Genomic DNA, 12,521 nt, shown 5'->3' with positions numbered 1-12,521 from the left:
GTTCCATACATATATATATATATGGAAATAAGTGCACCTGTGCACCTAGAAACAGCTACTAGAATGTTCCTAGCAGCACTATTTGTAATAGCCCCAAACTAGAAACCACCCAAATACATCAACAGTAAACTGGATAAATAAAACTGGATAAATAAAAGTGGATATATATATATATCCATTACTTCTAATGGCAAAAACTGCAATTACTTTCACACCAGCCTAATAATTCAACACTGTAGAAGAATGTGAAATGGCATCAGTGTATTCTTAAGTGATACAGATGTACTAATGAGATGATCTATTGTAATAAACATTTTTATAAGCACTCAATTTTATTAGGAAAAAACTTTTACATACACACCCACACACGCACCATCCCCCAACACACACCCCCTGAACGAACAGATACCAAGATGTTAACAGTAAACAGTTTCAACTTATCTGTATTTTCCAAAAGTTCTACCAAATATATATATCATTTTTTGGTAAAAGTAAACAAGAAGGAAAAAAATAAACTATGTAGAGATCTTTTTAGAGTGAAGCCCTGGGGGCCTCACCCCAAGTCTCAGTTCCACCCACCCCGAGTCTCCCCTTTGCCTCCCTCTCTGCCCTCTGCCTGCCAGGTACCTGAGGGTCTTCCTTTGCATGTCCTCATCGGTGATGCCGTGATACACGAGGGTCTCATTCCAGATGGGGTTCCGGGTATTCCGCAGAGTTTTTGTACGAAGCTTGTTGGACTAGAGCCCGAGAGAGATGGACAGAGACACCTACCTCAGTGGGGAGCCAGTCCTGGAACCCCATCGTTTGGGCTGACGTGGGGTGGGTGGGTGGCTTTCCCCATAGGAGTGTCCAGGGGCTTAGTTATTCCCAAATGCATGTTCTCAGGGAGTGGGGGATGTCCTCTAGGATCATGGCCACAGAAAAATGGATCAATGCTTGACACTGGGTCCCCTCTCCCTCCATGCACTAAGCCTCCTCCTTGAACTTTCCCTTAAGAAAGCAGAGACATCTTCCTTTGAGAAGAAATCATTTATAGGTCAGGGAGACAGAAATGAGAGTCACCCATTCCCATTTAGGCAGGGGATATTGGGATGGTTCTCTCTGTTCCCCCCAGATAGTACCCTTCATGCCTAAAATTCCTTAGAGGGGCCAACATTTTTCATTTTACTCTAAGAGAAAGCTAGAAATGCAACTATGCCCAGAAGAGGTGGCCTGGTGACAAATCTCATTCATGCTAACATGCAAATGATTCACATTAGATTCTTCAGCAAAGCAGCTTTGGCTATTAGGAGTGGGTAAAGGAGGGCATCTAGAGGAGAAGCAAACATCACTGGGGAGTGAGGAGGAGCAGGGGCCAAACACTTCATAATTTGGCCATGGCCAGGTGAGGAACTGTCTTTCCTTGATCCAAAGAAAAGAGTGAGACAAAGTATACGCGTGTGTGTTGAGGGTGGAGGGCGGTGTGTACAGGTGCGTACATGTGTCCTCTTTTGTCTCATGGCGCATTTGGTACTTGCAGGGGTATTTAACAGGCATTTTCTGAAGATCATTTGACAGATGTACTGCCACCTTTGCCTTTAGGACATCTATGTCAAATTAATACAAAGCACAAAACAAAAACCAGGCAGGCACACTTCCATTTCCAGCCATATACTCTGGGTAGGCCAATCCCCAGAGAGGAGAATTAACCCCAGAGTAAAGCAATGCTCAGCCGGTGAGCTTGAGGGGAGAGAAGGGTGGGAGGGCCAGGGCTTCAGAGAATATTCTCCAAAGTGCTTAGTCCTAAAATTTGGAGAGAGCCACTCATTTCTATTGAGAGATGAGGAGTGTGTGGTTGGGGCATAAAATGTGTAGGGGAGGTGAGCCAGAGTCAGCAGTGGGAGAGCCGCTGAAGGTGTTCGAGCAGATGAAGGGCATCATCAGGGCATCTGCTTCTCTTCTGGCATTGGCAGCTGCCCAGATCCCAGGTTTCTGAGTTGGAGAAATGGGCAGAGCCCCTACCCAAGGGAGAATGACCCCTGGAACATACTTTACTTGCTCTGCAATGGCTTTGCTACTCACAGGATGAGGTGGGGTTGGGGATTTGGGGCAGATAAGGCTATTTTGGGCTCTGAGCTGAGAACCCTGGGTATCTGCCAGGGCCCATGCACCCGGTTTGCAGAGAAGCCCAGGCCATATGGTACCTTGCTGGCTCCCGGCAGGAGGTGCAGCTTAACGTAGGGATCAGCCAAGCCGTTTGAATCCATGGGCTTCAGGCCCTGCAAGAGAAGGAGGCAATGGTGTGAGGGCCTCAGGAGGGCCCAGTGCTCAGCTGTCATCGGCAATGGGCATAGCCCCTGGCATCTGTCCTGCCTGTTGGTCCACGCTGTGTGCTTCCTCCTCCAAAGAGAGAGAAGGGAAATGCAGTATCATGGAAAGAGTACTGGGATGGGAGACAGGGTTTTAAACCTGGCCATGTCACTTCCTGGCTATGTGACCTTAGGCAAGTTTCTTAACCTATCTGAGCCTCAGTTTCCCCACCTGTCAAATGGGGATAAGAACAGTACCCGCTTCATGAGGTGGTGAGATTTAAATGCAATTCCACCTATAAAGTGCTGGCATATGGTACACACTGGATCAAGGCTGGATTGTTATTGCTAGGATGGGAGGACATGTCCCAGAAGAATAAAGGCAAGGTCGGGGGAAGGAGGATGCTCCTGCATTCTGGCCCTGACCCCTGCATTCTCTTCTAAGACTTCAGTGTCTCCATCCATCAGGGCTGGGATGAGGCTCAGATAAGATACTATAGAGGAAGGAAGCTTAGGGTAGGTAGGAATTAAGTTGATTTGTTAAAATGAGCAATCCCCAAATTCCTGGGGCTTAGACATACTCTGTCCATCCCCTACATTCAGACCAGGCAGATGTCCCACCTCTGGGCTCCCGTCATCCCTCTGCACAGCACTTATACCATGCACAATTGGCCGTGAACAACACGGGTGTGAACTGTGTGGGTCCACTTATATGAGGATTTTCTTCCACCTCTGCCACCCCTGAGACAGCAAGACCAACCGCTCCTCTTCCTCATCCTCCTCAGCCTACTCAACATGAAGACCATGAGGATGAAGACCTTCATGATGATCCACTTCCACTTAATGAATAGTAAATATATATTATCTTCCTTATGATTTTCTCAATAAATGTTGAATTTTCTTTCAGCTAGCTTACTTTATTGTAAGAATACAGTACATAATACCTAAAGTATACAAAAGATGTGTTCATTGATTGTTTATGTTGTCAGGAAGGCTTCCAGGCAACAGTAGGCTAATAGTAGTTAAGTTTTTAGGGAATCAAAAGTTATACCATAGATTTTCAGCTGCTCAGGGGGTTAACTTAACTCCCACATTGTTCAAGGGTCAAGTGTATTGTGTCCATTGATCTCCTTGGATCTTGTTTCCCCACTTGTTCAATGGGGCTGGCAGCAACTCCTGCTTCATGGGGCTCTTAGAGGATTAAATGAGATCTTGCCTGTAAAGATGGGCTCCATCCCTTACCAGCTGTGTGAGCTCAGACTTTAACTTTCTAAGCCTGTTTCCCCATCTGTACAATGGGGCTAATAAGAATCCCTACCTCAGAAGTTTCTATAAAAAGGAAACAAAATAATGTATATGCACTTACTTCACTGTGTTATTGGCGGGGGTGGAGGGGCAGTGTTAAGTGCTTCTAAGTGCTTGCCACAGTGATAATAAATAGGTGTCCAATAAATCCTGATACATACTTGGTGCCCAATAAATGATGATATATTCTAGGTGCCCAATAAATGCTGATACATAATAGATGTCCAATAAATGCTGATACATAATAGATGTCCAATAAATGCTGATACATAATTGGTGCTCAATAAAAAAGTGACTTGGGCAAAGGAATGTGTTGGTCTAAGAGTTGTGTTAAGCATTTCATACCTCATTTATCATTCAAATTGAGACATTTTAAGAGTGAAAAAGGAAGCAATTAATTATTATAGCGAGGCAACAGGCATAGAAGGGGACTGTCCTGGGAACACTGGAACATGTGCGCACAACTATCCTTATGGGAGATACACTACTATTATCCCCAATTTACAAATAGGCACACTGAGACACAGAGGGTTTAAGTCACTTCTCCCAAGTCACACAGCTAGGAATGGTCAGGGCTGGTATCTGAACCCAAGAAACCTGGTTCCTGAGCCCCTGCTTGTTTTTCTGTGTGGACCAGGCTTGGGGCTTTGCAGGGTAGGGGTTCAATCCTAGTCAATTACTTTCTGGGGTTTGCACTGGCTTCACCCAGCTTTTTCCCCTGGGGTCTGGAATCAAGTCAGCTCACTCCCCCAGGGCCTGCAGCGAGGCTGTCCCGCCCCCTTGGAAGCCCATATTAGTGTCCCTGTGTCTCGGCTGCTGCTTCAGAGTGACAGCCGCTTCAGCAGAAGGGGCCTCAGGCAGACACAGGGATGGGACCATTCCATGGCCATGTCAGCTGTCGAGCCAGGCTGTCATCTCCTCCTGGGCAGAACCTCCACCATCCCCTCCAGAGACACTGCTGGCCCAGGCAGATAGGGGCCAACTCTGCTCTTGAAGCCCAGCTGCATGTACTCCCAGGAGGTGGTTGCAGATAAGTGAAACCCCTCTGGGACGATCCCTGGAGGAGGAAGGCCTCCCAGAAAGGAATTTGCCTAATTACTGTGACTCTTCTCATCACCGTCACTATCATCGATAGACAAGCAACAACAGGAGACAGGCCTGGTCATCCATCCCCATCTGAGTCTCCTAGCCATGCCAGAGCATCCTGAGAGGTTCCCTGCATGGTCCCCATCACCCACCTTGGCCTTAATGATGGTGCACTGCAGGGAGCTGTTGTCCTGGTCGTAGAGAAGGCTGAATTCCAGGGCACCCAGGGTGGCTGAAGGGGGCAGAGACAGGAACCAAGATAACGAATATTCAGTCACTCAGCAAACATTTCCTGAACACTTACTATATGCCCAGGCTGGGCTGTGAATTGAGACCACAGAAGAGAAGAAAACTCGGTTTTTGCTGTGAGTTCCTCATCTTGGTAGACCCTGCACTACCTTAGAGCACTCAGGACATCTGTGATCAGTTCATCATCTGTGCACTTGCCTAGGTAATGCCTTTCTGTCCTGATAGATTGAGAACCCCATGAGGGCAATAGCTGGGATTATCTTGTTGACTGCTGTGTCCCCAGTCACAACACATGGCACATAATCATAGGTGCTCACTTAGTTGCTGAAGGAATAAATGAGTCTCAGCATTTGCTGTTCCCTCTGCCTGGAATGCTCTCCCTCTAGATCCTTACATGGTTGGCACCTTCTCGTTATCCATATCTCAGCTTAAATGTCACCTCCTCAGAGAAGCCCTCCTTGATCACTCTCTAAAGTAGCTACCATCATAGTCACTCAATGTATTTTATTTCTTTTATGGTGCTCTGTCTCCACTCGAAATGAATTCGTTGGTATGTTAACTGCCTCTCTTCACTGGAGTGTTAGCTCCAGGAGAATAGCTGGCATGTCTATCTTTTTTTTTCCATGATATCCCCAGCATCTAGAACAGTTTGAGGCACTTTGTACATGCTCAATAAACCATTGTCAAATATAGAGATGAGTGAGTGTGTGAAGAGTATAGAGTATGGAGACAGGTTTGTAATAAACAGCCGGGATAAGTTAATAACAGGGACAGACATGAGGCTGGGAGGACTCATCTATGCTTGGTGGGTTGGGGACATTTAAGGCCGATGGAAGGAGCAGTAGCCAGTGTTCCAGGGAAGGACCAGGATGAGGGAAGGCAGAAGGGTGCATAGACAGGGCATTTTCAGAGCAGAACCAGCCTGTGGCTGACAAGATGGGTGGACTCCTCTCCTTTCTCCTGAGACCGCAGACCCATGATCCATGGGAGTGCACAGGGCACGAAGGGGGACAGCTGATCTTCCATGCAGTCCTGGCCTCTGATCTGCTACAGCTGTGTGATTGACCACCAGCCCCTCCTTGAACTGACTGGATGAGCTTGGACAAGTCCCTCAACCTCTTGGAGCCTCATCTCTCAATCTGTAAAATGAGAGTTATAAAAGCAACTATGCCCAGGTTCGTAGGGAAGATTAAATAGGCAAATGCACAGAATACACTCAGAATAGTGCCCAGCACAAAATGAGTGCCCAACACGTGTGGACTTTTATTACCTCTGATGTCCATACGCATAACAACAATTCCTCGTGGGTGTTTAGCACTATGTAATAATGATTTCCATTTTATGAAGCACCTTCCCAGAAGGTATCTCAGTTTATCTGCCCCTTAGCCTGTGGGGGAGGTGGTGCTGTGCTTTTCATTTTACAGTGAGGAGAGATGACATGGCAGGTCAAGGCCGTGTTGCTGGTCACAGCCCTTGATCTTTTCCTTCTGTGTGGATCCAGTTTTCCAACTTGATCAGAAACAACTGGTAATGTCCCCACCCACCAACACATATTGGATGCAGACACTTGCCAATTCTACCTCTCTCCAGCTCACAAAGTCTGCCCCAGGCACACCAGGGTTAGCGGGGGGAAATGCCACTGGTGTGTGTGTGTGTGTGTGTGTGTGTGTGTGTGTGTGTGTATACGTGTGTGTGTGTATACGTGTGTGCGTATCCCTGGGACTTGGGGCCTGGGTGGGATAGGTACATTGTAGGCATTCAATAAGGATGCAAGAGAAAATGCCCAGTAAATTTTAAATCATGATTAATAAATTACTTTTAGAAGATATACATTAAAGAGTTTTAAAAATTGTTAAAATTCACACCTAGGAGCGAAATTGCTGAGTCATATAATAATTCTATGTTTAACCTCTTGAGGAGCTAGTAGACTGAACATCAAGAATGTAGTCAATGCCACCGAATTGCAATCTTTAAAATGATTTACATGGTACCATTGATGTTATTTGTATTTTACCACAATAAAAAATATATGTAGCACTTACTCTTTAGGAAGCTGATATTTTGTGAATTTAGAAACACAAATCTGTACTTCTATCACTTGGTTAATATGTTTATTAGGTCTGGTATATTAGGGGTCTGGGGATAGACAGGGCTGTTCCTGAGCCGTTCCTGTTTTCCTGGGCTTGGCTCCTGAAGTGATTTTTCCAAGATACCTCTCCCTTAGGCACCACCTACTTGCTTCATCCGAATCGTAGCTGTTGGCTTCCTCTTCCTCCTCCTCTGGGGGTGGTGGCTGGCGGGCTGCAGCAGGCTGGGGGGCAGCTGCAGATGCTTGGGAATAGGGTCCGGAGGGGTGGCTCATTCGGTCCTCTCTGGCTCCAACTGCTGGGTAGCCCCCGACTCCCCCTGTTCTCTCCTCTCGGGGTGGGGCAGTGGTCCCAGGGTCGCTCGGAGCCACCTCTGCAGGGAGATAAGGACAGGAAACATGCAGCTGCATCCCTGTTTCATAACAGCAGCACCTAGGGACATTTTCAAAAGATGCGGATTCCTGGCTTCACCCGGAATCAGTGGATATGCAGTGGGACCTTGGGATCTGTGTTTGACAATAAGCCCCTCGAGCTGATTCAGATGTAAGCAAAACAGACCTTGTGGGGGTACAAATCAGTGGTGTGGACTCTGGAGCCCAGACAGCCTGGGTTTGAATCTTGGCCATGTGACCTGCGGCAAATTACTTAATGTCTCTGAGCCTCAGTTTCTTTATCTGTAAAATGGAAATTATAATATCTGAAGCTCCTCAAATAATAGTATTTTTTAATGAACAAATACAGGTGTAGCACTTAAAACAGTGCCTGATGCCTGAGAAAGCAAAAAGTGTCTTGTAGCTGTGACTGGTACATATGATGGTGATGCATATTGATCATATATATTAATAGCAACCACTGTCGCTCAGTGTGGGCTTATTATATTCCAGGCCACCCACCAAGGTTTTCTATGTGTTAGTTTGTTTAATCCTCCCAACAATTCTGTGAGGTAGGTCCTAGTATTATTCCCATTTTATAAATTAGGAAACTGAGGCTCAGGGAAGCTAAGTAACTTGTCCAAAGTCACACAGCCAGGAAGTGAAGGGGCAGGGATTTGAACCCAGGTAGTCTATGCTCTAAACTATATGTGTTGGCATTTCTATCTAGCTAATCTTAGTACGGACTATCTAAAGTTTTAGACTCGGGGGAGCTGTTTAGATCTCATCAGACAGGTCTCAGGGTGCAGGCTGAGTCACGTTCTGGCAGCTGCCTGCTCTCTCTCAGGGAGGTAGGGGAGAGGTGGCCACTTGGGCAGGCATGGGAGGAAGCAGATACTTGCCTGGCTTCTGATCTGGAAAGCGTCCTGCTGGCCCAGGACCCGGTCTGCTTCCTCCTGGGGTCCCTGAGCAGGGAGAGGAGACAAACAGAGATGCAGCAGAGAGGGTGGCATCATTTGGGGGTTCACCTTTTCCTTTTCATTTCACAGGTGTGGACACAGGCCCGAAGGCAGAAAGGTACCCGAGGCTGCAGAAACAGTCCCACTGGGAGAGGAGCTTTTGGATTTAGAAAGACTTGGATCCAAGCCCTAGTGCTGTGGGAACTTCCTGAGCCTTGACTTGCTCCTCTGTGAAATGGGGGTGTTGGTCCTTGAGGTGGGAAACACTGGCGAATGAGGTGCCATCACTTTCTGCACTGGGTGGGTAAGATGCTCCCTGCCTCCTCCTCCCACTCCCTGCCCAGCTTCTTGGCCCAGGGAATTACTGGTTGTAAGGGTCTTAGAAGAGGTTAAGATTTAGTTGTGGCTGCAGCTTTGCAGAAAGCCCAGCATGCTCTGCAAGCAGGGATGGGAGGTATGAGGGTCACAGCCGAGTGACAGCCTGGGCAGGTGCTAGCAGGTGAGTGGCAGGTACCTGGCTGCCCAGGCTGAGGTGGCGCTGGGCTCTGCACCGAGCCTGGGGCAGGTCTGGAGGCCTGGACTGAGTTGGCCCGTCTCAAACCTGCAGAGGAAAGAAAAGAAAACAGCCATTATGTGTCACACACACACACACAGCAGGAAGGAGCTTGGGACCACTCAGCTGGTGTGGGGTGAGCCCCTTGGACTTTCACTGGAGGCAGCTCCTCACTCGCTCAGCTCTTTCTGACTCTTCTGCCTTCAGTGTGTTCTTTCTTCTCAATACTCAGACTCTGGTGAGTCACAGCAGCAGCAGTTGTTAAAAAGCACAGGTTCTACAATCCTCCTTCCACCTGTGTGACGTTGCTCAAGTGACCTGTCCTCTCTGGGCCTCAGTTTCCTCACCTGGTATATGGAGATAATCACTTAGCTGATAGAGTTGTGGGGAAGATACAATGACACAAACAGGCAATGCTCAGAACAGTGCTTGGCATGTACTAAAGACTCGACACATGACAGGTGGTGAGATTATTTTATTATTATTGAAAGAATGTGTCTCTATCTTCATATGGACTTGGCTTTGCCTTCCTGCTGTTTCCCATATGGCCTGTGTGACCCTGGGCTGGATACTCATCCTCTCTGAACCTTAGATGCCCCATGGAGGCAACAGTTCCACTTAACTCATAATGATAATGAATTCATACTTATTTAGTGCTTACCATGTGCCCTGGACTTTACATATAAGAACTTCTTTAATTTCTACTAATAACCTTATGGGGTGGGGCCTTATGATCTCCATTTTATAGATGGGGAAACTGAGGCACAGAGAAGTTACTGAGCTCATCTAATGTCTCTTGGCTGGTTACTGCAGAGCCAGGGTTTGAACGCTGGCAGTTGGCCTCTGGAATCTGTGCCAGAGACCCTTACATGCTGTTGTTTCCCAGAGAGGGACTGAATGGAATGATGTGTGCAGCAGTTTCTGGTACCCAGAAGGTGTGATGTTCTGGGAAGAAAGCCCTGCTTTTTCTTACCTCACTGGGCTAGATGCCATCTTTCCTGAATCCAGCACTTTTGGCTGGATGGATGCTTGAATACACATAACAAAAGGTGCTTTACCACCTCTGCCTGGGGGCTTACAAATCACCAAGTCTTGTCCCAGGTTCCCACATTAGCACTGCCATTTGTTTGTTCACTTGAGGCCCTGTTCATTTGTCCATTCATTCATTTGTTCATTCAACAAGCATCCAGTGGGTGTCTACCAAGTGCCAATCCCTGTGCTAAGATGAACAAAACACCATCTTATATCCTCCAGGAGTGCACAGCCCAGTCACAGGAAGGAGACAGACACTGAAATGATGAGTTTATGATGCAACAATACCCAACAGTCATTGAGTTCTTCAAATGCACCAGGCCTTGAACATCGCCTCATGGAAGCTTCACAACTCAATGCCATGCATGGTATTGTGCTCCCCATTTTGCAGTTGAGGTAGTGGGGGTTAAATATGCCCAAGGTCACATAACCAGGAAGCCCCGAAGGTAGGACTTCTGTCCAAATCTATCTCAGATCTTGTTGAATGTGTAAATCACACCTGAAGCCCATCAACAATAGAATAAGCCGCTCCAAGAGGTAGGGAGACAGAGAGTATGTGGGTGATCAAAAGCCTTTCAGAGACCTCTGAAGGGATTTCCACACTGTGTGTGAGGGAGGACTCTGAGATTCCAGGATTAAGCCCTGGAACAAGGGAGTTTTACTGGGAATTTGTTTTACTGAGCTGCTCTCAGTCCCTCAAGTGGAACTTGTAACAGACCAGCTAGGAGCATTGGCTCTGCACGTGAACTGCCTGGGTTAAACACTAGCCCTGCTATTACTTTTATGTGACCTTGAGATTGTTTTAGCCTCTCTTTGCTGCATCTATTATGTGAAGATGACTACAATAGTACCTATCCAAAAAGAGCTGTGGATTGGATCAGTATGACCCATGCAAAGGGTTTAATCACATACCCGGCAGAGAGTAGATGCTCAATAAGTTTAAGTTGTTATTATGATTATTAATTCAAATCTGTAAGTATTTGAGAGCCTATAATCAACTAAGAATCTTAGTATAGGCTGGAAAATGATGAGCAAGAGATAAAATTATGGTAGATGCTCCAAATATTTGGAAACATAATAAATTAATGGAGAGAGACATGTCCCTGGTATTACAAGGGAGAGAGATTCAGGCTATAATGCTTTAGACAGTGATAAGTCCTGCATTAGGGCTGCGTCTCACCACCCTGGGAGCTCAGAGAAGGTAGCAGCTAACCCAACTCAAGGTGGAGCAGGTGGATGCTAGAAGCTAGACAAGACGAATATTTACATTGACTCCTGAGGGACAGGGGATTCAAATCCAGTTCAGAAATGTCCTATGACTGTCTTTGTCCTCAGAAGACAAAATAATATAGACGTTAAAAGCAGGATTTGATATGTGGAAATTAACTCAAAATGAATCAAAGACCCAAATATAAGGGCTAAAACTATAAAACTCTTAGAAGAAAACATAAAGGAACTTCTTCATGATCTTAGATTAGGCAATGATTTCTTAGATATGACACTAAAAACATAGGCAAGAAAAGAAAAAGAAAAGAAACTGGGCTTCATCAAAATAAAAGCCTTCTTTGCATCAAATGACACTATAAAAGAGTGAAAAAACAACCCATGAAATAAGAGAAAAATGTGTAAATTATATATCTGATAAGACATTAATATCCAGAATATATAAAGAACTTCTATGACTCAACAACAAAAGACAAACTATCCAGTTTAAAATGTGTTCAAAGGACTTGAATAGCTGTGTCTCCAGGGAAAATATCCAAATGGCCAAAAGCACAAGAAAAGATGCTCAGTATCACTAATCATAGGGAAATGCAAGTCAAAACCACAAGGAGATGCCACTTCACACCACTGGGATGACTTATTAAAAACAAAAACAAAACCCAGAGAATAACAAATATTGGTGAGGACATGGAGAAATGAGAACCCTTTTGCATTGTTGGTGGGAATCTAAAAATGTCTCAGCCACCATGGAAAACGGAATGGTGGTTCCTCAAAAAATTAAACACAGAATTACCATATGATCCAGCAACTTCACTTATAGGTATATACTCAAAAGAACAGAGTGCAACAGATATTTGTATGTCAGGCGCACAATGACATCATTTACAACAGCTAAAAGGTTGAAATAAACCAAACTCCCACTGATGGGTGAATGGATAAACAGAATGTAGTATATATAATATATATATACACACACACCACTATATATATGTATATATACATGTATATACATATACACCACTATATATAGTATATGCACTGTGTGTATATACACTATATGTATATAATATATAACGTATACTGTATATTGTATATTTTATATTATATATACTGTTTCTATATATTCTATTGTATATATATGTACACTATATTATGTGTGTGTATATATATATACACTATATAAATACACAATAGAATATTGTGTATTCTTAATTTATGCCCAGTGTTCCATTATTGGAATGCTAAGCTTGTAGGAGTTATTTATATCCTACTGCTCAAAGTCACCGTCAAGGTCTGGTTTTTCACACAAAAATATTGCAACCTCCAGCATAATGGGTTAAAAAGGAAAGAAATTCTGACACATGCTA

At 45.3% G+C, this 12,521-nt stretch overlaps 1 protein-coding gene across 10 annotated transcripts in view; it reads right to left on the bottom strand.

Moving 5' to 3' along the window:
* RPH3A (rabphilin 3A) overlaps positions 1–12,521 on the bottom strand; it is a 323,646-nt gene that overhangs the window by 14,852 nt on the left and 296,273 nt on the right. For 8 of the 10 annotated variants that reach the window (NR_145126.2, NM_001347952.2, NM_001347953.1 and 5 more), the window contains 6 exons: positions 8,860–8,946; positions 8,289–8,351; positions 7,164–7,388; positions 4,832–4,911; positions 2,184–2,258; positions 628–737 (listed from right to left, as the gene is read on the bottom strand). Coding sequence is in view for 8 of the 10 variants with exons in the window: in NM_001347952.2 (NP_001334881.1) it covers positions 628–737; positions 2,184–2,258; positions 4,832–4,911; positions 7,164–7,388; positions 8,289–8,351; positions 8,860–8,946 (640 nt within the window). In the remaining 2 variants the exon portion in view is untranslated. Of the gene's footprint in view, positions 1–627; positions 738–2,183; positions 2,259–4,831; positions 4,912–7,163; positions 7,389–8,288; positions 8,352–8,859; positions 8,947–9,072; positions 9,246–9,871; positions 11,463–12,521 lie in introns of those variants that run through there. The other 2 variants (XM_017019034.3, NR_145127.2) reach the window with 2 other exon arrangements.

The sequence above is a fragment of the Homo sapiens genome, chromosome 12 (assembly GCF_000001405.40).
Source record: "Homo sapiens chromosome 12, GRCh38.p14 Primary Assembly".
Lineage (NCBI taxonomy): Eukaryota > Metazoa > Chordata > Mammalia > Primates > Hominidae > Homo > Homo sapiens.
Note: the sequence above shows the minus strand (reverse complement) of the source record. Positions and strands in the feature narration are given on the sequence as shown.